General features: G+C 38.8%; 1 protein-coding gene across 2 annotated transcripts in view, besides 2 other annotated features; it reads right to left on the bottom strand.

Annotated features, from left to right (window-relative positions):
• The window catches only part of PASD1 (PAS domain containing repressor 1), a 113,065-nt gene that overhangs the window by 8,207 nt on the left and 80,624 nt on the right, over positions 1-24,234 (bottom strand). For both annotated transcript variants that reach the window (NM_173493.3, XM_011531102.3), the window contains exons 9-11: positions 19,831-19,918; positions 8,697-8,820; positions 4,185-4,414 (exon numbers count right to left, since the gene is read on the bottom strand). In NM_173493.3, the coding sequence (NP_775764.2) occupies positions 4,185-4,414; positions 8,697-8,820; positions 19,831-19,918 (442 nt within the window). The remainder of the gene's footprint in view (positions 1-4,184; positions 4,415-8,696; positions 8,821-19,830; positions 19,919-24,234) is intronic.
• Positions 2,790-2,990: a silencer, noted in NCBI's record as "peak7437 fragment used in MPRA reporter construct". NCBI's record gives its function as "represses an SCP1 promoter by STARR-seq MPRAs in K562 erythroleukemia cells {active_cell/tissue: K562}" and the evidence as "EXISTENCE:reporter gene assay evidence [ECO:0000049][PMID:32103011]".
• Positions 9,370-9,570: a silencer, noted in NCBI's record as "peak7436 fragment used in MPRA reporter construct". NCBI's record gives its function as "represses an SCP1 promoter by STARR-seq MPRAs in K562 erythroleukemia cells {active_cell/tissue: K562}" and the evidence as "EXISTENCE:reporter gene assay evidence [ECO:0000049][PMID:32103011]".

Genomic DNA, 24,234 nt, shown 5'->3' with positions numbered 1-24,234 from the left:
CGGTGATATCCCCTTTATCATTTTTTATTGCGTCTATTTGATTCTTCTCTCTTTTCTTCTTTATTAGTCTTGCTAGCGGTCTATCAATTTTGTTGATCTTTTCAAAAATCCTCAATAAAATACTGGCAAACCGAATCCAGCAGCACATCAAAAAGCTTATCCACTATGATCAAGTGGGCTTCATCCCTGGGATGCAAGGCTGGTTCAACATATGCAAATCAATAAACGTAATCCAGCATATAAACAGAACCAATGACAAAAACCATACGATTATCTCAGTTGATGCAGAAAAGATCTTTGACAAAATTCAACAACCCTTCATGCTAAAAACTCTCAGTAAATTAGGTATCGATGGGACGTATCTCAAAATGATAACAGCTATCTATGACAAGCGCACAGCCAATATCATACTGAATGGGCAAAAACTGGAAGCATTCCCTTTGAAAACTGGCACAAGACAGGGATGCCGTCTCTCACCACTCCTATTCAACATAGTGTTGCAAGTTCTGGCCAGGGCAATCAGGTATGAGAAAGAATCAATATCGTGAAAATGGCCACACTGCCCAAGGTAATTTATAGATTCAATGCCGTCCCCATCAAGCTACCAATGGCTTTCTTCACAGAATCGGAAAAAACTACTTTAAAGTTCATATGGAACCAAAAAAGAGCCTGCATTGCCAAGTCAATCTTAAGTCAAAAGAACAAAGCTGGTGGCATCATGCTACCTGACTTCAAACTATACCACAAGGCTACAGTAACCAAAACAGCATGGTACTGGTACCAAAACAGAGATACAGACCAATGGAACAGAACAGAGCCCTCAGAAATAATGCCACATATCTACAACCATCTTATCTTTGACAAATCTGACAAAAACAAGAAACGGGGAAAGGATTCCCTATTTAACAAATGGTGCTGGGAAAACTGGCTAGCCATATGTAGAAAGCTGAAACTGGATCCCTTCCTTACACCTTATACAAAAATTAATTCAAGATGGATTAAAGACTTAAATGTTAGACGTAAAACCACAAAGCCATAGAAGAAAACCTAGGCAATACCATTCAGGACATAGGCGTGGGCAAGGACTTCATGTCTAAAACACCGAAAGCAATGGCAACAAAAGCCAAAATTGACAAATGGGATCTAATTAAACTAAAGAGCTTCTGCACAGCAAAAGAAACTACCATCAGAGTGAACAGGCAACCTACAGAATGGGAGAAAATTTTTGCAATCTACTCATCTGACAAACGGCTAATAACCAGAATCTACAATGAACTCAAACAAATTGACAAGAAACAAACAACCCCATCAACAAGTGGGCGAAGGATATGAACAGACACTTCTCAAAAGAAGACATTTATGCAGCCAAAAGACACATGAAAAAATGCTCAGCATCACTGGCCATCAGAGAAATGCAAATCAAAACCACAATGAGATACCATCTCACACCAGTTAGAATAAAAATCATTAAAAAGTCAGGAAACAACAAATGCTAGAGAGGATGTGGAGAAATAGGAACACTTTTACACTGTTGGTGGGACTGTAAACTAGTTCAACCATTGTGGAAGAAAGTGTGGCAATTCCTCAAGGATCTAGAACTAGAAATACCATTTGACCCAGCCATCCCATTACTGGGTATATACCCAAAGGATTATAAATCATGCTGCTATAAAGACACATGCACACGGATGTTTATTGTGGCACTATTCACAATAGCAAAGACTAGGAACCAACCCAAATGTCCATCAGTGATATACTGGATTAAGAAAATGTGGCCCATATACACCAGGGAATACTATGCAGCCATAAAAAATGATGAGTTCATGTCCTTTGTAGGGACATGGATGAAGCTGGAAACCATCATTCTCAGCATACTATCACAAGGACAAAAAACCAAACACCGCATGTTCTCACTCATAGGTGGGAATTGAACAATGAGAACACTTGGACACAGGAAGGGGAACATCACACACCAGGGCCTGTCATGGGGTGGGGGGAGTGGGGAGGGATAGCATTAGGAGATATACCTAATGTTAAATGATGAGTTAATAGGTGCAGCACACCAACATGGTACATGTATACGTATGAAACAAACCTACACGTTGTGCACATGTACCCTAAATCTTAAAGTATAATTAAAAAAAAAAGGAGAAAAAAAAAGGTGGATGAGACTTCTCAACTGATTGGCCGAGAGGGACAGAAAAGAGATGAGATTCTTGGAAAATAATTATCTTTCAAGGCTGGAAGTCGGGCCTGGGAACAATTGCTATTTGCCCTGAACTATGCTGGATACCATGCATATAAACAAGGTCAGAGAGCCACAGTCCTGATCGATAAAGAATTTACAACATTAATGATAAGAAAAAGGTACCTACACTTGCAACTTTCAGAAACCAAAAATAGACTTATACTGTGGTTCATCAATACCCTTTATGAGTAATGTAAGTACATAGATGAGTTGAGAGAGAGAGAGAGAATACCCTACAAGTTGTTGTTTTCATTATTTGGAATAAAAATTATATATGTATTTTTAGTCCATTGAAAATTGTTCAACTTGTCCTTCTTTCACTATGTATTGTATGTCTCTTCCTATAAGAAAGCAGACATTCATTAGACCAAAAAAAAAAAAACACACACACACACATGCACGCGCGTGTACACACCCACACAGACACACACACACACCCCTCTAAACTCAGGACTAGAAGAGACAAACCCTACAGGTTATCACATCCTCTCACCCTCTCCAAGCAGAAATTTTCTTTGCTTTTCCTGGAAAAGGAGCTGCCAAGCATTGACTCTCACCACTCCATCGAAGGAGAGAGGACTTGCTATTTTGAGAGGTGACCTAATCCGTCTGAGAAGGGCTAATAGTGTCAGACTGCTTCCTTGATCCTCTGGAACCATATCTTCCACTTTATGACCCTTCAACTACTTGGATAAAGCTGTCCTGTCCCTTCCCATTCTTCCCTTCTCAGTGTCTTCGGCAACTGATTAAGATGTTTTCCAGCCCCTTCCTCATCCTGGTCTCCATCTTCTGGATACACTCCAGGTTGCTGATACATGGCACCCAGGAATAAGCCTAATACACTAGCACATGCAGAGCCAGATGACACACGTTCATTGCTGGTTATTTTGGTGATTTTTTAAAAGTTATACTTCAAAATTTAATTACAAGTTAATTCAAAAGAGAAGATAAACCTGTCAACAGTGAAAGGGGGACCACAACTTTTTGGCATGATAAGGACATAAATCAGGCCACAGCAGATTTTCACAGAAATTTCCTTTTAAATAGCTCAAAGAATTTTCACAGCAGTCTGCAAATCCCCGCAAGGCAAGACCATTTCAACATGGAGAAACTGAGGCTCAGTAATTTGCCAAGGCCACACTGCTGGGGCCAAACTCAAACAATTGTGTTCTAGCCCTTAATTATTTTCACTGGATGAGGATCCTTTTGAACCGGAGTCACTCAATCTTAGGCTCAGTGATGAACGCACACAATTCCAGGTAACTGACCATCAACTCATTAGCTTGGCTTCTAATCCTGATTTTAATAATCCTGTCTAATATAAAAGATGATCATCGAAATCTGTGGTTATGTACACACATTTCAGGGTAGAGGAACTACACAGTAGTTAATCCAACCATTTTGATTTGGCCGTGGACTGTACATTGGTACTGATGTTTCAAGGTTGGGTATATCTAACGACTCTGAAATGCATGTTCTAACCTAATAAAAATTCCACTGGGAAAACCTAGCTTGTGGTGCAGGGAGAGGGTTGGTATGGGAAGGCCAGAAAGTTGTCTTCCCTCTAGATGGTTAGCATGCTCTCACAGGTGATTAAAAGCAGGGCTCTTAAAAATACCACCTTTTCTTAGCAGCTAAGCTTCTTATTTGGCTCAAACTTTTCCTCAAGTACAAAGTGTCCATGGGATTTCATATTAAGAAGAGCACAGGGATTTGGTCTTACTTAGAGAACCTCCAATCTCCCTGTTTGTGAGGGTCCATTGAGTTCTCAACGGCATCTGAAAATCCAGTATAACAGAAATAGTGATATAGTTTTGAAAAAGTAACAAACATACTTTCTGTGAAGTGAAACTGGTCACAAGAGTGAAAATTTGGGCTTTGCAAGGTTAGCTATCCAGACAAACGTGAAGCGAGTGAAGCGAGACTTTCAGAGTACCTGAGCACTTGCGCCAGCAGCCCCCAGGTCCACTGAGTCCTCTGGATCCACTGGATCCATCAGGCCTGCCTGGTCCAACGGGGCAACTGGGTTCTCTGGGTCCTGCTGGTCCATTGGGCCCTCCTGGTCCACTGAGTCCACCTGATCCACCGAGAACTCCAGGTCCACTGGGTCTGCCCTGTACAATGGATTCACCTCAGGCTCACCTCGAAAGTCTTGCAAGGATAAGGCTGAGGAAGAAAGCACAGGGGAGTTCATGACTTAAAAAGCAAAAGTACTAATGTTATCAAAAAGACTGTACGAGGGTCATTTTAGCCCATGTTAAGGATGAGATGTGCCAGGTGCCAGGAATCATTCAGAATATTATTTTAAAAATCTGTTCATATTTGAAAATGAAGAAAAGGGAGAGAGTGTTTGAAGTTACCACTGCCTACCCTCCAGCTTAAGCTAGTGCCTAAACCCACTGCATTTGTTAGTGTCATTTCATTCATTATAAAATTATTTTGGCTCTGCTTTTGGAGATTTAGTACCATCCAACCGATAAAACCAAATAAAATCTAGTCATAAATCACTTCTGCACAATCGGGTTGCCCAGAATGTGGGACCTCGGGAGTGCTCAAAGTTCTCTGGGAGGTGTTATGACATGACTTGGTTTCAACAGCCCTGAAAAGCACAGTGGAGAACATTATTTGAATAATGCAAAATGGTACAGTCATTTTTGAAAACATTTTGTCAGTTTCTAATAAAGTTAAACACATACTTCCCAAATGACCCAGCAGTCCCGCAACCAGGAGTTGAAAACTTATATTCATACAACACAAAAACTTCTACGCAAATGTTTAATGTAGCTTTATTCATGATCAAAAAACACTTGGAAACAATCCAGATGTTCTTTTACAGGTGAATGAAGTTTTAAAACCTGATATATTCATAAGATGCAGTATTACTCAGCAATAAAAGGGAATGAACCGTTGATTCATGCAAACGTGGATGAATCCTAAATGCATTTTGCTAAGTGAAAGGGGCTAGACCAAAAAGGCTAGATGTCATATGATTCCTCTTACATGACATTCTGGAAAAGGGAAACCTTCAGAGGTGAAATACAGATCAGTGGTTGTCAGGGGATGGGAGACAAAGGTTGAGTACAAAGAGGGAGCACAAAGGAATTTTGGGGGTGATGGAACTATTCTGTTTGGTACTGTGGTGATGGATACATGACTCTCAACATTTGTCAAAATCCATAGAACTGTATATATCAAAGAGTGAATTTTACTGTATATAAAATTGAAAAGAAATTGATCAGGAGGCAGGAAAACCTAGGCGAAAATACAGACTGTAACAAATGAATCTAATTCTATTACAGATAAATGACATATCCACAGTGATGGGGGTGAGAAATAAAGAAGCTAACGCAGGAACTTCAGAAAACAGAGGTTTGCCTGGATACTGCAAAGCTAAAGACAAAAAAAATGCACACACAAATTAATTCCAAATGGTAAATTTGTTCCTTAAGGGGTACAGGTTAGCAATTGTGAAACTACTTTTTATGAATGTTTATGTATTGGAAAAATCAATAAATATACCATAGATAATGAAAGCCAGATTTCTCACTGTCAGAGATACAAATTACAAATAAGCAGACAGAAAAGGCTAGAATGAACCCTATGATACTGGGCTGGAGTAGGAACTATCAATGAACTCCTGTTGTTGTTGTTGTTGTTGGTTGTTACATGCTGAAATAAATACAGATGGTTGTATATGGTTGCATGGGTTAGTATGAATAGACATCTTTCCTAGTCCACTGAGAGGGTTTAGAAGTAGTGACACACCTGTAACAATGAGTACAACTAGCACCCAGATCTTCGTTTCTAAATACCACTCTCCAAATAAAGGACCTAAATAAGGTTCCTTAAAGAAGGGGTTGATTTAAATGACAACATGTAATAATGGAAATAAGGAAGTGAAGGGAAAAAAAAAGATGCAGACATGATAAAAGGACAAGGGAGCCAACCTAAAAGAGCCCCATGAGCCAAAGCTGGAACAATTTTTTTTTAATGACGGTATTGGATTGCAAACCAAATAATAAAAAAATGCCCATGGATTCATCCTGATGTAAATGAATGTACGAATAAATGAATGAAAGAGAGACAAGGAACAACTCTTTCTTACAGCAAGATTGCAGTTAATAAATATACAAAAAACGAGGGAAATAAAAAATTGGCATTAGAAGTAATTGCTGTAGGCCAATTCCACTGATGATGCTAAATGTGAAGGAGAGTTTAAGGAGAAACAGAAAACATTATGTGCATGTTCTCAATGTAGCTCCCCTCAAATATTTGATAAGTACAAAGGGGAAAACAGTACCACCTTAACCAAGCAATCAAGTTAACACCACCAGCAATAAAACATACCATCATGTATATTCTGATATGATGCCCTAAGGAGGGCACATCACATCTGTGGTATTCTTCCCCAAAATGCAAGACCTCAATCTCATCTTGAAAAATCATCAGACGAACCCAAATTGAGGGACATTCTGTCAAATACCTGGCCCATATCCTTCAAAAGTATCGGATGATAAAAAAAAAAAAAAGCAAGAATGAGACACTGTCAAAGACTGGAAGAAACTAAAAACACATATTATTTAAATTCAATGAGGGATCCTGGATTAGTTATTGGAACAGAAAAACAACTTTCTGGGAAAACTGAATAAAGGCTGAAGCTCACTTAAAAGTATTGCATCAATGTTAACTTCTTAGTTTTGCCAGCTGTACTGTGGTTATGTAAAATGTTACATTAGGGGAAGCTAAATGAAGGTTATCCTAAATGGTATCTTTCCCTTATTTTTCTATTTTTTTCTTTGTGCTATTTTTGCAACTCTTCAAGTCCAAAATTATTTCAAGATTAAAAGTTTGGAAAAGAGAAACATCTGGATTAGGCAGAATGAACCACTCCGTCACTTCCTATCTGCTTTCTGCAGCCTGGGGTTGCATACCTTACCATGCTATGGTCATGAGCGAATTGTCCTTTAATCATAGCATGAGTTTGGGATGACCATTGAAAATATTTTGAAAAATTCTGGTTTCTGGATACTTCCAGTGTTTAGACTGTTGGCTAAATTCTTCTGCTTAACTCTTTTTTCCACTAAAAGCCATTTTCCAAATCATTTTAGCATATTTTTCTTTTTTTTTTTTGAGACGGAGTCTTGCTCTGTCGCCCAGGCTGGAGTGCAGTGGCAAGAGCTCGGCTCACTGCAAGCCCCGCCTCCCGAGTTCATGCCATTCTCCTGCCCCAGCCTCCTGAATAGCTGGGACTACAGGCGTGCCTGCCACCACGCCCGGCTAATTTTTTGTATTTTTAGTAGAGACGGGGTTTCACCGTGTTAGCCAGGATGGTCTCGATCTCCTGACCTCATGATCCGCCCACCTCGGCCTCTCAAAGTGCTGGGATTACAGGCATGAGCCACCGTGCCCGGCCCAGTTTACCATTTTTTAATTTTCTGATTCCAAGTAAACAAAGCTACTAAATTATCTGTAAGTGATAGTGAGAAACCCAGGAGTTACTTGACTTCTACCATATCAGCCATAAGCTGCTAGCCATTTCAATATGCTCATTTTGTTGGAACAGTCATCTGTGGAAGGTTATAAGGATTTCTCCATCATTGGCTTAACAGTAGTGAATACAAATAATTCTCTATAGCAAAGTTACAATGGTAGGTCCAGATAAATAGGTTTAAAGCAATCAATGCTCTTATAAATTTTAGAAATCACAATTATGAGTTCATGGAGTTTGACCTCTCCTGCCAAAAATCAATTGTTTTGGAAGGAATTTTTTAAACACAGCTTTGAGATTGACAGCAACAATGGAAAAGTTGTTAACTAAGAATTTTAAAAGTTGGAGATACTAAAACTGGATTTAAAAACTGAAAAAGAGTGAAATAAAAATTAAAATAGAGCTTATTACTTCTATATAAGGAGATTCCACATACCAATTATTTATGATAAGATTAATTAGGAGATATAATTTGTATTATGCATCCACCATTTCCTTAAGTTTTGTACTTTTCAAACAATTACGGTTACGAAATATCTTTAATATTGAAACTCATTAAAGAAATATCACTGTTTTTGAGAGACTCTCACTTTCCCCCTTTATTGGCATGAAAACTCAATAACAAGAGGTTTCTTTGGAATCCAAATACTGTGTGATAGCAGAATAGACTACACGAGTATAAAAAGATAAAACGCTATTCCTTCAAGGATTGAGATCCAGCGCCAATTTTTAGAAGATTAAAATTAAATAGGAGAAAAGACTTGAATCTGTGATGAAATACTCATTTTTATTATTCTCAAATCATCATCTCAAATATTTACAGAAGATGAAGAAAGTTGGAATTCACTCTGGGATTTCACAGTATTATAGAGCATTATATTCATTTGAAAAACTGTAACTACCCTGGGGGTCACTGTTTTTCTTCTAATAGTCCCTATCCAAATGCATAAATGTACCTACCTGGAGATTCAGGCATAGTATCCAGGAAAACTGTACTGGAGCAATAAGTTGAATCAGAATCTACAAACATGTGAACGTTTTCTTGTGGTCCATACTGCTCAACCTCTGCAATATCAATTTGGTCCTGTACATTTCCAAAAGAGAAAGATAGGACATTGCATTTTGGAGTTAGAAAGAATAGGAAACACAGGCAGAATACAAACTTTGATGCATTTCACATCACAATTTCTAACACTGCTGCAATCAACTGAAAACCTAACAAAAATCATCATCAAATACCTCCTTAAAAATATTGCTGGAAGATAACAAGCGGAGATTATAGATGCCACAAGGTATACACTGACAAACTGAAGAAGAGAAACACAGTATACATAACACTAAAAATAAAGGCATCAAAAAATGTTTATAGATCAAAAGGCATGGCAAAAACAATTCTGCCTTTCAGTGGTGTCAGTAGGATGCTGTCATGATAGTTGCCAAGGATGGTAGTCACCTCATCTCCCATTCCTCATTATTAGACCCAAACAAACTGGTTCACAGAGAAATGGGACAGCAGTGGGAGACCTGCACCACCACTGATAAGGCCATTTTCCCAGAGTTCCTGCACTTGCATCCTAGGCTTAGAGCAAGAAAAGGCCAACCAGGGGCTGTTTAACAACTATTGCATGTCTTTAGGCAGATTAAAGTTGAAAGTATTATTAGCAAAACTATTTTAAGCAGAGAGGTGAAAAGGCCTCTAAGAGCTTCTAGTCCAATGTTCTCACTGGATAGTGTCAAAGAGGGCAAGGCCATACAGACAGACAGGAGCAGAGTGAGAGATAGAATCCATTGACTCCAAACCCAATGCTCTTTTTCCTAAGCCTGGCTACCTTTAAGCCATTTGTTGCCTTAAACTACATACATAATATTTCTATTGAGTGATCCTGTCCTATTTCCTGAACAACTGAATCCTTTTTGAATAGTCTGTGGATCACTGTCCATTGAAATTTAAGTACCTGGTTTAGCAGTGAAATATTTTACATCCCTGACAAAATATTTTGTTTGCTTTTGTTCTGGATTGGCTTAAGACACAGACCCATGGTGATTTTTCTACAAAGAATCTGTTTGTTGGATCACATCCCAGCATTTCAACTTCAGGAAACTGTGCAACCTCACTGTTCAAATGACTATGTTTTATACTCCCTAATAAGTGATATGTTGCTGGGGATGTGACAATCTTTTCATTACTTACAATGACATTATGGTGAATCGGTATTCATTAAGAGGAGATATGACCTGTCTCTTTCCTCTTCCTTCTGTTCTTCTTCATAGCCATCTATCGATTTAATCACTAACTCTTTGCTTTCTGGATTATTTTCAACATAAACTTATATTCTCAAATGTTAATTAAGATGTCCACTTTTGGGTATTCGTATGTTCGGGCTTATCAATATAAATGCAGTGAGCTTAAATTAACTTAAATGACAGCATCATGTGCAGTAATGGTAATTGGCCTGGAAAAAACAAAGCCAAGAAACTACTTTGGAAGCAAAAAGATAACAGTTTAAAATGCAATTAGGACTAAGGTGAAAATGCATGCATGGAGATAGGAAGAAAATCAACATGCTTTTACAGTTTTCAGTGGAGTTTTGGATTCACCTTTATTCCATAATTGTCTCCACGAATAGTGTGCTAAAGGATTTGAAAAGAGAGGCATGGGTTTTGAGGCTGGATATAGAGTAGGCTTCAAATGCAAACTCCAATACCTGATGGTTATGTAAACTGCAAATATGTAGGGGGAGAGGGGGAAGAGGGCATTCAAGAAGTCTGTTCCCAAATCTTTGCATTTTCCCTGTGGTGGCTTATTGTTAAAGTGCTCTAATTTTTAGGAGATCCTTGCATTTTACTTTTTTGGAAGTGGTGGGGGAAAGGCCATAGGGCTTCCAATCAAGACAGCAGATTGGACAGACATGGAGAAAATGCTACATAAAATAGAGCAGAATTTAAAAAAAAAAAAACCCTCCAAAAAAATCAGTGAATCCAGGAGCTGGTTTTTTGAAAAGATCAACAAAATTGATAGACCGCTAGCAAGACTAATAAAGAAGAAAAGAGAGAAGAATCTAACAGACGCAATAAAAAATGATAAAGGGGATATCACCACCGATCCCACAGAAATACAAACTGCCATCAGAGAATACTATAAACACCTCTACACAAATAAACTAGAAAATGTAGAAGAAATGGATAAATTCCTGGACACATACGCCCTCCCAAGACTAAACCAGGAAGAAGCTGAATCCCTGAATAGACCAATAACAGGCTCTGAAATTGAGGCAATAATTAATAACCTACCAACCAAACAAACTCCGGGACCAGACGGACTCACAGTCGAATTCTACCAGAGGTACAAGGAGGAGCTGGTACCATTCCTTCTGAAACTATTCCAATCAATAGGAAAAGAGGGAATCCTCCCTAACTCATTTTATGAGCCCAGCATCATCCTGATACCAAAGTCTGGCAGAGAAACAACAAAAAAAAGAGAATTTTAGACCAATATCCCTGATGAACACTGATATAAAAATCCTCAATAAAATACTGGCAAACAGAATCTAGCAGCACATCAAAAAGCTTATCCACCATCATCAAGTGGGCTTCATCCCAGGGATGCAAGGCTGGTTCAACATAGACAAATCAATAAACGTAATCCAGCATATAAACAGAACCAATGACAAAAACCACATGGTTATCTCAATAGATGCAGAAAAGGCCTTTGACAAAATTCAACAGCCCTTCATGCTAAAAACTCTCAATAAATTAGGTATTGATGGGACGTATCTCAAAATAATAAGAGCTATTTATGACAAACCCACAGCCAATATCATACTGAATGGGCAAAAACCGGAGGCTTTCCCTTTGAAAATTCGCACAAGACAGGGATGCCGTCTCTCACCACTGCTATTCAACATAGTGTTGGAAGTTCTGGCCAGGGCAATCAGGCAGGAGAAAGAAATAAATGGTATTCAATTAGGAAAAGAGAAGTCAAATTGTCCCTGTTTGCAGATGACATGATTGTATATTTAGAAAACCCCATCGTCTCAGCCCAAAATGTCCTTAAGCTGATAAGCAACTTCAGCAAAGTCTCAGGATACAAAATCAATGTGCAAAAATCACAAGCATTCTTATACACCAATATCAGACAAACAGAGAGCCAAATCATGAGTGAACTCCCATTCACAATTGCTTCAAAGAGAATAAAATACCTAGGAATCCAATTTACAAGGGATGTGAAGGACCTCTTCAAGGAGAACTACAAACCACTGCTCAACGAAATAAAAAAGGACACAAACAAATGGAAGAACATTCTACCCTCATGGATAGGAAGAATCAATATTGTGAAAATGGCCACACTGCCCAAGGTAATTTATAGATTCAATGCCATCCCCCCCATCAAGCTACCAATGACTTTCTTCACAGAATTGGAAAAAACTACTTTAAAGTTCATATGGAACCAAAAAAGAGCCCGCATTGCCAAGACAATCCTAAGCCAAAAGAACAAAGCTGGAGGCATCATGCTACCTGACTTCAAACTATACCACAAGGCTACAGTAACCAAAACAGCATGGTACTGGTACCAAAACAGAGATATAGACCAATGGAACAGAACAGAGCCCTCAGAAATAATACCACACATCTACAACCATCTGATCTTTGACAAACCTGACAAAAACAAGACATGGGGAAAGGATTCCCTATTTAATAAATGGTGCTGGGAAAACTGGCTAGACATATGTTGAAAGCTGAAACTGGATCCCTTCCTTACACCTTATACAAAAATTAATTCAAGATGGATCAAATACTTAAACGTTAGACCTAAAACCATAAAAACCCTAGAAGAAAACCTAGGCATTACCATTCAGGACATAGGTATGGGCAAGGACTTCATGTCTAAAACACCAAAAGCAATGGCAACAAAAGCCAGAATTGACAAATGGGATCTAATTCAACTAAAGAGCTTCTGCACAGCAAAAGAAACTACCGTCAGAGTGAACAGGCAACCTACAAAATGGGAGAAAATTTTTGCAACCTGCTCATCTGACAAAGGGCTAATATCCAGAATCTACAATGAACTCAAACAAATTTACAAGAAAAAAACAAACAGCCCCATCAACAAGTGGGCAAAGGATATGAACAGACACTTCTCAAAAGAAGACATTTATGCAGCCAAAAGACACATGAAAAAATGCACACCATCACTGGCCATCAGAGAAATGCAAATCAAAACCACAATGAGATACCATCTCACACCAGTTAGAATAAAAATCATTAAAAAGTCAGGAAAGAACAGGTGCTGGAGAGGATGTGGAGAAATAGGAACACTTTTACACTGTTGGTGGGACTGTAAACTAGTTCAACCATTGTGGAAGAAAGTGTGGCAATTCCTCAAGGATCTAGAACTAGAAATACCATTTGACCCAGCCATCCCATTACTGGGTATATACCCAAAGGATTATAAATCATGCTGCTATAAAGACACATGCACACGGATGTTTATTGTGGCATTATTCACAATAGCAAAGACTAGGAACCAACCCAAATGTCCATCAGTGATATACTGGATTAAGAAAATGTGGCCCATATACACCAGGGAATACTATGCAGCCATAAAAAATGATGAGTTCATGTCCTTTGTAGGGACATGGATGAAGCTGGAAACCATCATTCTCAGCAAACTATCACAAGGACAAAAAACCAAACACCGCATGTTCTCACTCATAGGTGGGAATTGAACAATGAGAACACTTGGACACAGGAAGGGGAACATCACACACCAGGGCCTGTCATGGGGTGGGGGGAGTGGGGAGGGATAGCATTAGGAGATATACCTAATGTAAATGATGAGTTAATGGGTGCAGCACACCAACATGGCATATGTATACATATGTGACAAACCTGCTTGTTGTGCACATGTACCCTAGAACGTAAAGTATAATAATAATAATAAAAAGAAAAACAAAAATCAAAACAAAGAAATACCCTGAGTTTAGAAATCATCTCTATATCTTATCTCTTATTTACCTGCCACCATTCCACCATCTTCTCTTAAACCTACTCTCATCAGACATTATCTCCTTGAACCCCACCATACTCCACCAAAACTTTTGTCAAGTTTAGCAATGACCTACAGGTCCTAACTCTAATGGTCACTTCTCAATTGTCAACCTATGTAATCTATCAGCAGTAGCTGACATTGTTCATCATTCCTTCTTCCTGTAAATACTTTCTTCACTTTGCTTACCTTCTACCTCACTAGTCACTTGTAAGTCTCTTTTGCTAATTCCTCCTTTTTTTCCCCTAATCTCTTAACTTTGGGTGTACTTCAAAACTCAGTCCTTGGTCCTTGTTGCTATCTACCTTAGTGTCCATCCTCCAGACTTACAGCTTTAAGACCATCCATGCTGATGATCCCCAAATTCAAATTTCCAGTCCTGTATTACATCTCCAGTTGGATGTCTAAGGGGCTTCTCAGTCATAAACATTTTCACAACTAAGTCCTTGATATTACTCCTCCCCCCAAAGAAAACACCATTGGCTAGGCACAATGGCTCATGCCTATAATCCCAACACTTTGGGAGGCTGAGGTGGGAGGACTGCTTGAGCCCAGAAGTTTGAGACCAGCTTGGGCAATATAGTGAGACCCTGTCTCTAGAAAAAAATTTAAAATGAGGTGAGTCTGGCAGTGTGTGCCTGCAGTCCCAGCTACTTGGGAGGCTGAGTTGGGAGGATCATTTGAGCCTGGGAAGCAGAAGTTGCAGTGAGCTGACCATGCCACTGCATTCCAGTCTGGGCAACACAGTGAGAGACCCTGTCTTGAAAGAAGAAAGGAGGAAAGAAGAAAGGAAAGAGAGAAAGAGAGAAAAAGAAAGAAAGAAAGAAAGAAAGAAAGAAAGAAAGAAAGAAAGAAAGAAAGAAAGAAAGAAAGAAAGAAAGAGGGAGGGAGGGAGGGAGGGAGGGAAGGAAGGAAGGAAGGAAGGAAGGAAGGAAGGAAGGAAGGAAGGAAAGAAAGAAAGAAAGAAAGAAAGAAAGAAAGAAAGAAAGAAAGAAAGAAGGAAGGAAAGAAAGAGAGAGAGAGAAGGAAGGAAGGGGAAGAAGAAGAAGGAGGAGGAGGGAAGGAAGGAAGGAAGGAAGGAAGGAAAGAAGGAAGAAAACATCCCTAAGCTGCGAGTTCTTCCCATAATTTTTCCCATCTTAGTTAATGCAACATTATCCTCCCAGTTGCTCACGTCATCCCTAACTCCTCTCTTTTTCTCACACCCGTCATCAAATGCCAACAAATGTAAGGGCTCTTCCTTCAGAATATTTTCAGAAGGCCAGGCACGGTGGCTCACACCTGTAATCCCAGCACTTTGGGAGGCCGAAGCGGGTGGATCACCTGAGGTCAGAAGTTCAAGACCAGCCTGGCCAACACGGTGAAACCCCGTCTCTACTAATAATACAAAAATTAGCCAGGTGTGGTGGCATGCGCCTGTAATCCAGCTACTTGGGAGGCTGAGGCTGGAGAATCGCTTGAACCTGGGAGGCGGAGGTTGCAGTGAGCCGAGACGGCACCACTGCACTCCAGCCTGAGTGACAAGGGCGAAACTTTATCTCAAAAAAAAAAAAATATATATATATATATACACACACACACATATATATTTTCAGAATCTGACCACTTCTCATAACTTCTACGGTTACCACCCTGCTTCAAGCCATTATCATCTCTCATTTGGACTGCTGGGATAGCCTCCTAACTGGACTCCTTAACTTCCATTCCTGCCCTTCCTCCCACAGTCTATTCTCAACACTGTGACTCTTTTAATAAACAAGTCAGGTCATGCCATTCTTCTGCTCAAAACTCTCTAATCATTCTCCATTTCATTCAGAGTTAAAGCCAAAATCTATACAATGGCTTCCAAAGCCTTACTCAACCTGACCTCCTTACATTTATGACTTCATCAATACCTACTCTCAGCTTTGCTCACTCTGCTCCAGCTGCTCTAACCTTCTCGTTATTCCTCTAAACACTGGGCATGCTTCCACCTCCAAAACCCTGCAGAAGTTTTTCCTCTTCTTGAAATAGTCTCCCCCGACCATAGATGTCTTCATGGCTAGCTTTCTCACCTTTTTCAAGTCATTGCTTATATTTAATACTGTACTCCCCGACCTCTTGCATTCCCAAACCTCCTCATCCTGTTCTATCTTTTCAATAAGTCTTGTCACCTTCTCTTTTGTTTGGGTTGGGTTGAGTTTTTTTTGTTTGTTTGTTTTTTGTTTTTTTTTTTTTTGAGACGGAGTCTCATTCTGTCGCCCAGGCTGGAGTGCAGTGGCACGATCTTAGCTCACTGCAATCTCCGCCTCCCGGGTTCAAGTGATTCACCCACCTCAGCCTCCTGAGTAGCTGGGACTACAGGCGTGTGCCACCACGCCTGGCTAATTTTTGTATTTTTTAGTAGAGACGGGGTTTCACCATATTGGTCAGGCTGGTCTCGAACTCCTGACCTCGTGATCTGCCTGCCTCGGCCTCCCAAAGTGCTGGGATTACAGGCATGAGCCACTGTGCCTGGCCTAAGTCTTGTCACCTTCTAATCAATGATTTCTTTATTTAATATTTTCATCTCGTTATTGTCTGTTTCTCACTGTTGGAATGTAAGTTCCTCTAGAGCAACAATTTTTCACTGTTTTGTTAACTGATGAATCCACCCCCAACTTAAAACAGTGTCTGGTATCTGGTAGGTGTTCAATAAATACTTGTTCAATAAATCAGTAAATGAAGGAATCAGAAATGGCCTTTAAAAATAAACACATTTAAAATGTTCAAATATATAAAGAACAAAAGGGAAACCATGCAACAAATAGGACAATATGACAAAATAGTTTTAAAAGTAGACGCCTCATTGGGCAGTAAGAGACATAGATACTGAGATCAGACAGATCTGGGTTTGAATCCTGGCTCTGACACTTACTGTGTGACTTTGGGCAACTTATTCAATAGCAAGACTCTGAGATTTGCCATCTGTAAAACTGGAATGATAATGCCTCACAGGTCTGTTGTGGGACTTAAGCACCCAGTAAAATGCACAAATAGGAAGCTCTTAATACAGTTTAGTTTTCAGTGTTATTATTCTTTTTCAGGGCTGACCTTCTTTGACTACTTTTTAGAATCTTAAATAAGTATCTGTTGAATGAATAAATGACTAAATGCCTACCATAGTAGGTATAAAATCAGTGCAAGATGCTCTCATGATTATTCCCTAAATCAGGTTTGTCCTGGACTCTCATTTGCAAGTAATCAGCTCTAGCCGACTGTTTCTGTGTTGTCTGCTTCTGTCCTACCTAGCTCTTGGTTCATGCTCAAAGACAGCTGCTTCTGAAGATCCCACCCCACCTGCCACCTCCTGACACAATGGATTTGGGTGCAAAAGCAATCTGATAATGCACAAGCTGCAATTCTGCCAAACATGCCTGTTTAGTGTAACATGGCTAAGGAGCAACCTGTCTCTAGGAATGGATGGCAGAATGTGGGTGGCTACTAACATAAGTCACCTACACTCATCATTAAGAGAAGTATTTGGGACAGAGTCAATTAAAAAGGAGATCCAAACCATATCATTAGGGTTAATTTTTCTCCACACCTGATGCAAGACATTTCTATGTACTCTCACTTAATGTCTTGTGTGTTATGAGGATTTCCAGTATGGCTGGTAGGAACAAGAACTGTTACTAACCCTTTGTGAGTACTAGTATTGTTCTCTGTAATCCTCTGGAATGGTTTTCCCCTAGCCCCACTTCAAGTAGCTTCCTCAAGTGAATATGCCAATCAATATGCTGCTGAATACTAGAGGGGGCCCCTCACAGATCTCTGGCATTCTTTCTCCATGCAGCTCTCTCTTCTCTAGGACTCCGCTAGCAAACTTAGTCTCCCTATACTCTCACCTCAATCTCAACTCGGGCAGTCCACTGGGCTCCATATGTGTTCTCCCTCTCTGCAATGTGGCCTAGAAACTTGCTATGTAGTAAGCTCTGGTAACTGTGAAGCTCCTCTCATTGATTTCCAATTGCTCAAGAATCCATGGCCTTTGCTGCCTGCTGGCCATTATCATGAAAACTGTTGTGTCATATATTTTGTCTGTTTTATTTTTGCCCGTTTCAGGTAGGCAAGTTAACCTGGCCCCCTCACTCCATCTTGGCTGGAAGCAGGTCTCACAATTTCATGGAATATTATACAGTTTTAAAAAATGATCAATGTGACTGTTGAAAAAAATGGAACTTAGTGATAAGTGGAAGCCAAGGGTATGCAGTAGAATGTAAGCTATATTTTTCATTGTAACTACATGAAAAATATATACGTTGGTGGACTAAGACTGAATGGGAATAAGCAAAATTAAATAGCAGCTGTGCCACAGCAGTGGGATTATGTGTTTCTTTTTTTTTTTAAACAGCCCACTTTTCTCTAAATATTATAATTACTTAGGCATTATATATTTTATAAAATGAGAATATTTTAATCCAGCTTTCTTCAACATATACTAAGTTTAGGGACTCTGGATTCTTCACACACAGTACAGTATAAACCCTGGGTAAATATTTATTTACTGACGGGCTGATGAAGCAAGCCTGACAACTGTGTAGATGTTACACTGATGGCTAGAGCTATATGGTTGGCTTGGCCCCTTTTCCCAGCATACCTGTAATTAGTTTGTGTGTAAACAGAACACTGCTCTGTCTAAATTAGCATTCTTCTACCTTATTTCCTCTTTGTTTCATACTTCTTTGAGCAGAATATTAGGTTAAGCAGAGGTACTTATTCGGAATGGAGAAAGTTTTATTCACATAGACATACTTTGTTAAATGAGCAATACTTGGACAATTCAATACAAAATCAGCACTTCATGTTTAAAATATGTGCTCATGGCATCTCCATATTACAGAAGAACTTAAATACTGAAAAGACCTGCTGTCTGCACTGATCCCAGTACAAATTCATTCAGGCAAAACACATGGAGGCCTGAAAACCAAAGTTAGAGTCTATGCATGCAGCCTGTCTATACTGCTCTTGAAATCCCTTTACCAAATATTTGAAGAGTTCTATAAAAATAACAGAGTGCTTTAACATAGAGTACTCATTTGTGCATCTAATATTTATGACTGCCTACTGTGTGTAACAAGCCTTGTTCAAAATACTGGGGATATGCTGACCAACAAGACAGCCAATGATCTCTCCTCTCACAGAGGTTTCATTCTATTATAGGAGTAAAATAAATATCCCGATAAGATTCCTTTGAGCATTATTATATCCCCATGAGGTAGCCTGGCAGAGATTATTATTACTACTTCCATTTTACAGATGAGGAAACTGAGGCTGTCCAAGGTAAAACAACTTTCCCCAGGCCATGTAACTGGTAAGTGGCAGAATCAGGAATCAAACCCTTGTCTTCTGATGTCTCGGTCATGTTTTCTCTCTGTAGCACTGTTACCACTGTGGTGATCCAGCCTATCAGCTATGGTACATATACCCATAGAGTGGCATGTAAGGTGAGGAACCACCCTGTCACTTTTTAACGTGGGAAATGCCTTCTGGGATACCTCTTCTGTTCTTCTCTACCTCTCTCCTTGCAGTTTGGTTTTATGTCCCAGTCTAGAGTTTCATCAGATCACTGAGGGTAGACCCAGGTAGATTTCTATTAATGTATGTCCCTTAAGGATTCTTTCTAGTCATATCTGGTTAATGAATAAATTGATGATACATTCGTTGTCTTAGAGAACGGATGCAGACAACCTAGGCTAATTAGGCACTAGGTTCTAGCCTTCATGGCTTTCTACACCAGGCAGGTCAGTAAGTAAACTTCCATTATGAAATGTACTCACAAGGCAAAAAGACCCTGAACAACATCTGGGATACAGCTTAGCTTAATTCTTTTTCAAGCACTACAGGGACCATTCGAAGTCTGGCAGTTACTGGCTCCTAATAAGAAATGTCTACAAGATGGCAACTGTGGAACACTGCTCATGTGTCACATCCATATGACATACTTCTTGGTAACACACATTAACTAAATAATCAACATCACACGGATAAGGGTCTAAGATTGTAGTCTATGGTCCTCAATGTACATACGTCTGAGATAGCAGCAGCAGCAGCAGCAGCAGCGGGTTCAACGTACACGGCTTTCATGCTAGTGTGTCCTCTTTGACCTTGAGAGCTACTATAAATAGGAAAAAAGAGAGATGGTAAGCATATCTCACTCGCCATTTAAATCAAAATTTTCTATCATACAATAAAAAGGTTCAAATAAAAACTATTTGTTTTATTTTCCCTACTACAGAACATCATTAATCTTTGAGGTATCATTTTTCCCACAGAGTTGTTCTACACATCTACAAAAAAAAAAATCATCTGGACCCTCATTAGAATGAAGTTTGCTGCAGGTCTCAATGCCTTTTTAACAGTGGGGAGCAAACCAATATTTTTAAAGCCAAGGTGTTTGAGTGAATATTCTTTTTCAATTTTTAAACCAACTGCAATTACAAAAAAAAAAATGCCTTTAGGCCCAATTTAATTTTGTTTCCTGTAATTAGAGAAACTCTCCATTCTCGGGGCTCATTAACAATTCATTTCTATCAAAATTAGATAGAAATTTGCCCAGGGTGAGATGCAGCTTCATGGCACACTAGAGTCGAAATACTAGCTTACTTTTCACCAATTAAGTATGGGTGAGAAAATATGAATGAATGAGAATCTTATTTCTAATATTGATAATAGTGTTTCAAGCCTTAAAAATTTCATAACTGAGATTCTGTTATTGAAATGTATTTTGTTTTCACGAGTTTTTCTTTAGAAAAGCCCCTATTACTCCACAAAATGAGAAATTAAAGTCTGATAATAAATATTATAAAAAACAAGACCTCAGAGCAGCAAGACAGTGGCAAAATGATATATATAAAACTTTCCAAGCATATTCAGAAGACACATAATTAAGAGAAAACCTGGGTTATGCCACATGATTTCAAAAAGTGAATTCTGATCCAATGGAGATAAATTTTCCATTATGTATTTCAGAGGACCCTGACAAAAATCCATTTTATTTATATCATTTATTTCTAACACTAAAAAATTAAGAGCTTGAAAAATGTATTTCGGATATCCAAAATACGTAATATTTAGGAAGTACTGATTTGCACAGCATAAAACAACTAGTTAATGAGTTAAGTCATTCATTTGCATGTATAACTGGACTATATCGAATACAGAATGTTTAAAATATATAAAAAGTATATATTTAATTAAATATATTTATTAATATTTTATGTTGTTAATATTAATTTAATTAAAATATAAAATATGTAAAATATAAAATATTTCTTACTGGTTTGATTTTCAGTGTCATGAAACAAACATAAATGGAGTCACTTGTAAATCTGCCCACATATTATTTAAAAACAAAATTCCTATATTATTACATATTTTTAAAATAATTTTTCAACCTCCGACTAAATTTATAAGCTATGTTAGTCTAACAGAATGTTTTCTCACATCATAAATGCTGGTACCTCTTCAGGGCTGCTCTTGGAGTTCTGTTATTTCTTTATATTATCTGCCTTGCAGACCATGTCGTATCCCTTGGCTTCAACTATGCGTGACTCCCACAGCTCTACCTCAAGACCTCTTCCCAAGCTGTAGACCCACATATCCAACTGCCTTCAGCACATGCATGTGGGCATCTAACCTCAATTCAACATGGTATAGACTCCTGTTCCCCACTCCAGTGTCTCCTACTTGGTGAACAGTGCCACCTTCCACCCAGTCACTCAAGACTGAAATCTCCAAGTCATCCTAGACTCTTCCCTCTTTCTCAACTCTCTTCTGCCTTATATGAATGTTTCTTATTACTTTCTATCTACTTTTTCTACCTGGTTAATTTCTTCAAGGCAATGAACATGCTTTAAACTTCTTGTATCCCAGGCACTTCACACAATGGAGAGCAATTACTATGTGCTTAATGGATATTTGCTAAGTAAATAAAGGAATAAACAGATAAAACTTAGTAGTCAATTCAATCAAAATGTTTTCACATCCTTCATCCCAAGTCTGCCTGGATTGACAAAATTATTTTAATGAACAAGCTGGAGCTTCTATTTGTTGCTTAAAAGCAATCTAATACCTTTATATTGGCTTCTAAATAGTGCATAACTTTATATCTGAGATAAACAACATAGGAATATATTGCTTGCTGCATTGTCCAATATGGCAGTCACTAGACACATGTGGCTAAATCAAAATTTAAGTTAATTTAAATTAAATACAATTTAAAATTTAGTCTTCAGTCACAGTAGCCACATTTCAAGTGCTCCGTAGCTAGTGGCTGCCGTCTTGGATGAAGCAGATTATAGGCCACTGCAATCATCACAGAAAGTTCTACTGGACAGTGCTGTATTAAAGGATGCAGTAAGTTTTACTGGACAAAACTCTTTGACAGCAATATGTTGTGAAGCAAGTATGTTTTGTTTCAAATCCACCGACTTAAATATCAAGAATATAAATACAAGTAAATATTTTCCAAATTATTCAGTGAATTTACATTTTGTGCCTCTCCATAAGCCAGTATAAATGGCAAATATTTGATGTAGAACATAAAAGTCACAGGCACTCTGGGAGGCCAAGGTGGGAGGATCACTTGAACCCAGGAGTTTGAGACCAGCCAGGACAACACAGTGAGATCCCATCTCTAGAAAAAATAAAAAATGAGTCAGATGTGGCGGTGCACACCAGTGGTCACAGCTATTCAGGAGGCTGAAGTGGGAAGATCACTTGAGCCGGGGAGGTCAAGGCTGCAGTGAGCTGTGATCACGCCAATGCACTCCAGCCTAGATGACAGAGCGAGACCCGAAAACAAAACAAAACAAAACAAAACAAAAAACACCTCACAATTAAAAGTCACAGAGAAGCACTTACAATTTTAAATAAAAACATTAGGGAATATTTAATACCTAACTAGTTTGTGCATGTAAATAATGAGTTTGGGCTCAGGATATGGGATATAACATGTAACAGAGGGTTTGCAGCCATATCCACTGCTGGCCTTTGGTTAGGAACAGATACAAGCACAACTTTCTTTGTCCAAATTGTATCACTTAATTTTTAAAAATAAGGAGAAAGATCAAAGAACACTTTGCCAGTTGTAGTTACGTAAAAATAACACCTAATTCTACAAAGAAAAGTACCTCTGTCTCATTATGTAAAATCTCAAAATATTACTCTTAAATCGAGCCCTTCATGTTTCTTCTCTCTCTTCATTTTAAATATTTTACCGAGGTTTGATATCCATTGGTAAAGTGCTCAACACTGCTGAATTACTTTAATGCAAGGTTGTTCTTGGCTTAAAATATCATCTACTTCTACTTGCTGTATAAATGAAACTGTAAATATGAAAAAGATGTCAAATGAATACTGTCCTTTCATACGTCAATGGAGTACAAACTAAGGTGTGTTTTGAACAGTTGTGGCAGAGAGTCAGGAAACTGATGACAGTAAAAATATAATCCTAAATGTCTCTCCCTACTTAATTTACAGCTGAGATGATATAATCTGAAGTGATGGAGGGAAAGAAAACCAGATTTCCCTTCTTGGTTGCAGGTTATGAACAAAGTTTATGGAGCTAATTTTTAAGGTTACTCTAACCAAGGCTTGTCTACAGGCTCTCAGAGGAAGCCCACTACCATGCCCTGTCTGAAATGTAAAATCTTGAGTCAAGGATCAGGTATCATCTTTTCCTTCAAATCCAACTGCATCTCAGCCATCCTTGATAACTAGATACTAGCAGCTCCAAAGCCCACCTCTCCTGAAGAGTCATTATGTTCTTAGAAGAGGATTCCTGTTAAGTGGCTCCCTGGGAATTAAGCCTGAAACAGCCTCTCTTTGCCCCAGCCTCCCACTATTTTATTCAGTATTCTAGGCAAGCCATGGAAGGTGAACAGAAGCTGGGGTCACATACCCTCAACATTGGTCAATTATACCTAAATAAAGCTGGAAAAATATTTTTCTCAACTCCACATGCAAAAAGTGAAAACAAAATTCTGAAAAATTAAAAAAAAAAAAGAAAAATTACGTTGTAATCTGTACAGTCCCCATAAGTGTGGTCAGTTCAAATGCCCTCATTAGCCATTCTTTCATTGACCACCCTATGTCTCTAAGTTTCTATTCCACTTAACTATATGATTTGAGAGGCATAATACTGTAATTTGCTTTACAATTGTTCTTTTGTAATTTTAATTCTCTCTCCTAGAAAACGTCTTCCTGCAAGATGAGTTCTGCATGCACTATCATTTCTCTATTCCTTTGGAGCCAAGAAGCAGGTGCTCTAGTGTTAAGATGAGCAGACTAGGGATCAAGAGCCTGGGTTTTGTGACTTGAAACTGCACTGAGAGAGTTGGGAATGTTGCTATTGCTGTAGATCACCTAGACCAATACCCTCCTTTGAGGGGGAGAAGAGAAGCGTGTTCTGTGGCTACAGGGCTCTGCATA

The sequence above is a fragment of the Homo sapiens genome, chromosome X, assembly GCF_000001405.40.
Source record: "Homo sapiens chromosome X, GRCh38.p14 Primary Assembly".
In the NCBI taxonomy this organism is placed as follows: domain Eukaryota; kingdom Metazoa; phylum Chordata; class Mammalia; order Primates; family Hominidae; genus Homo; species Homo sapiens.
This window is presented reverse-complemented; position numbering and strand designations above follow the sequence as displayed.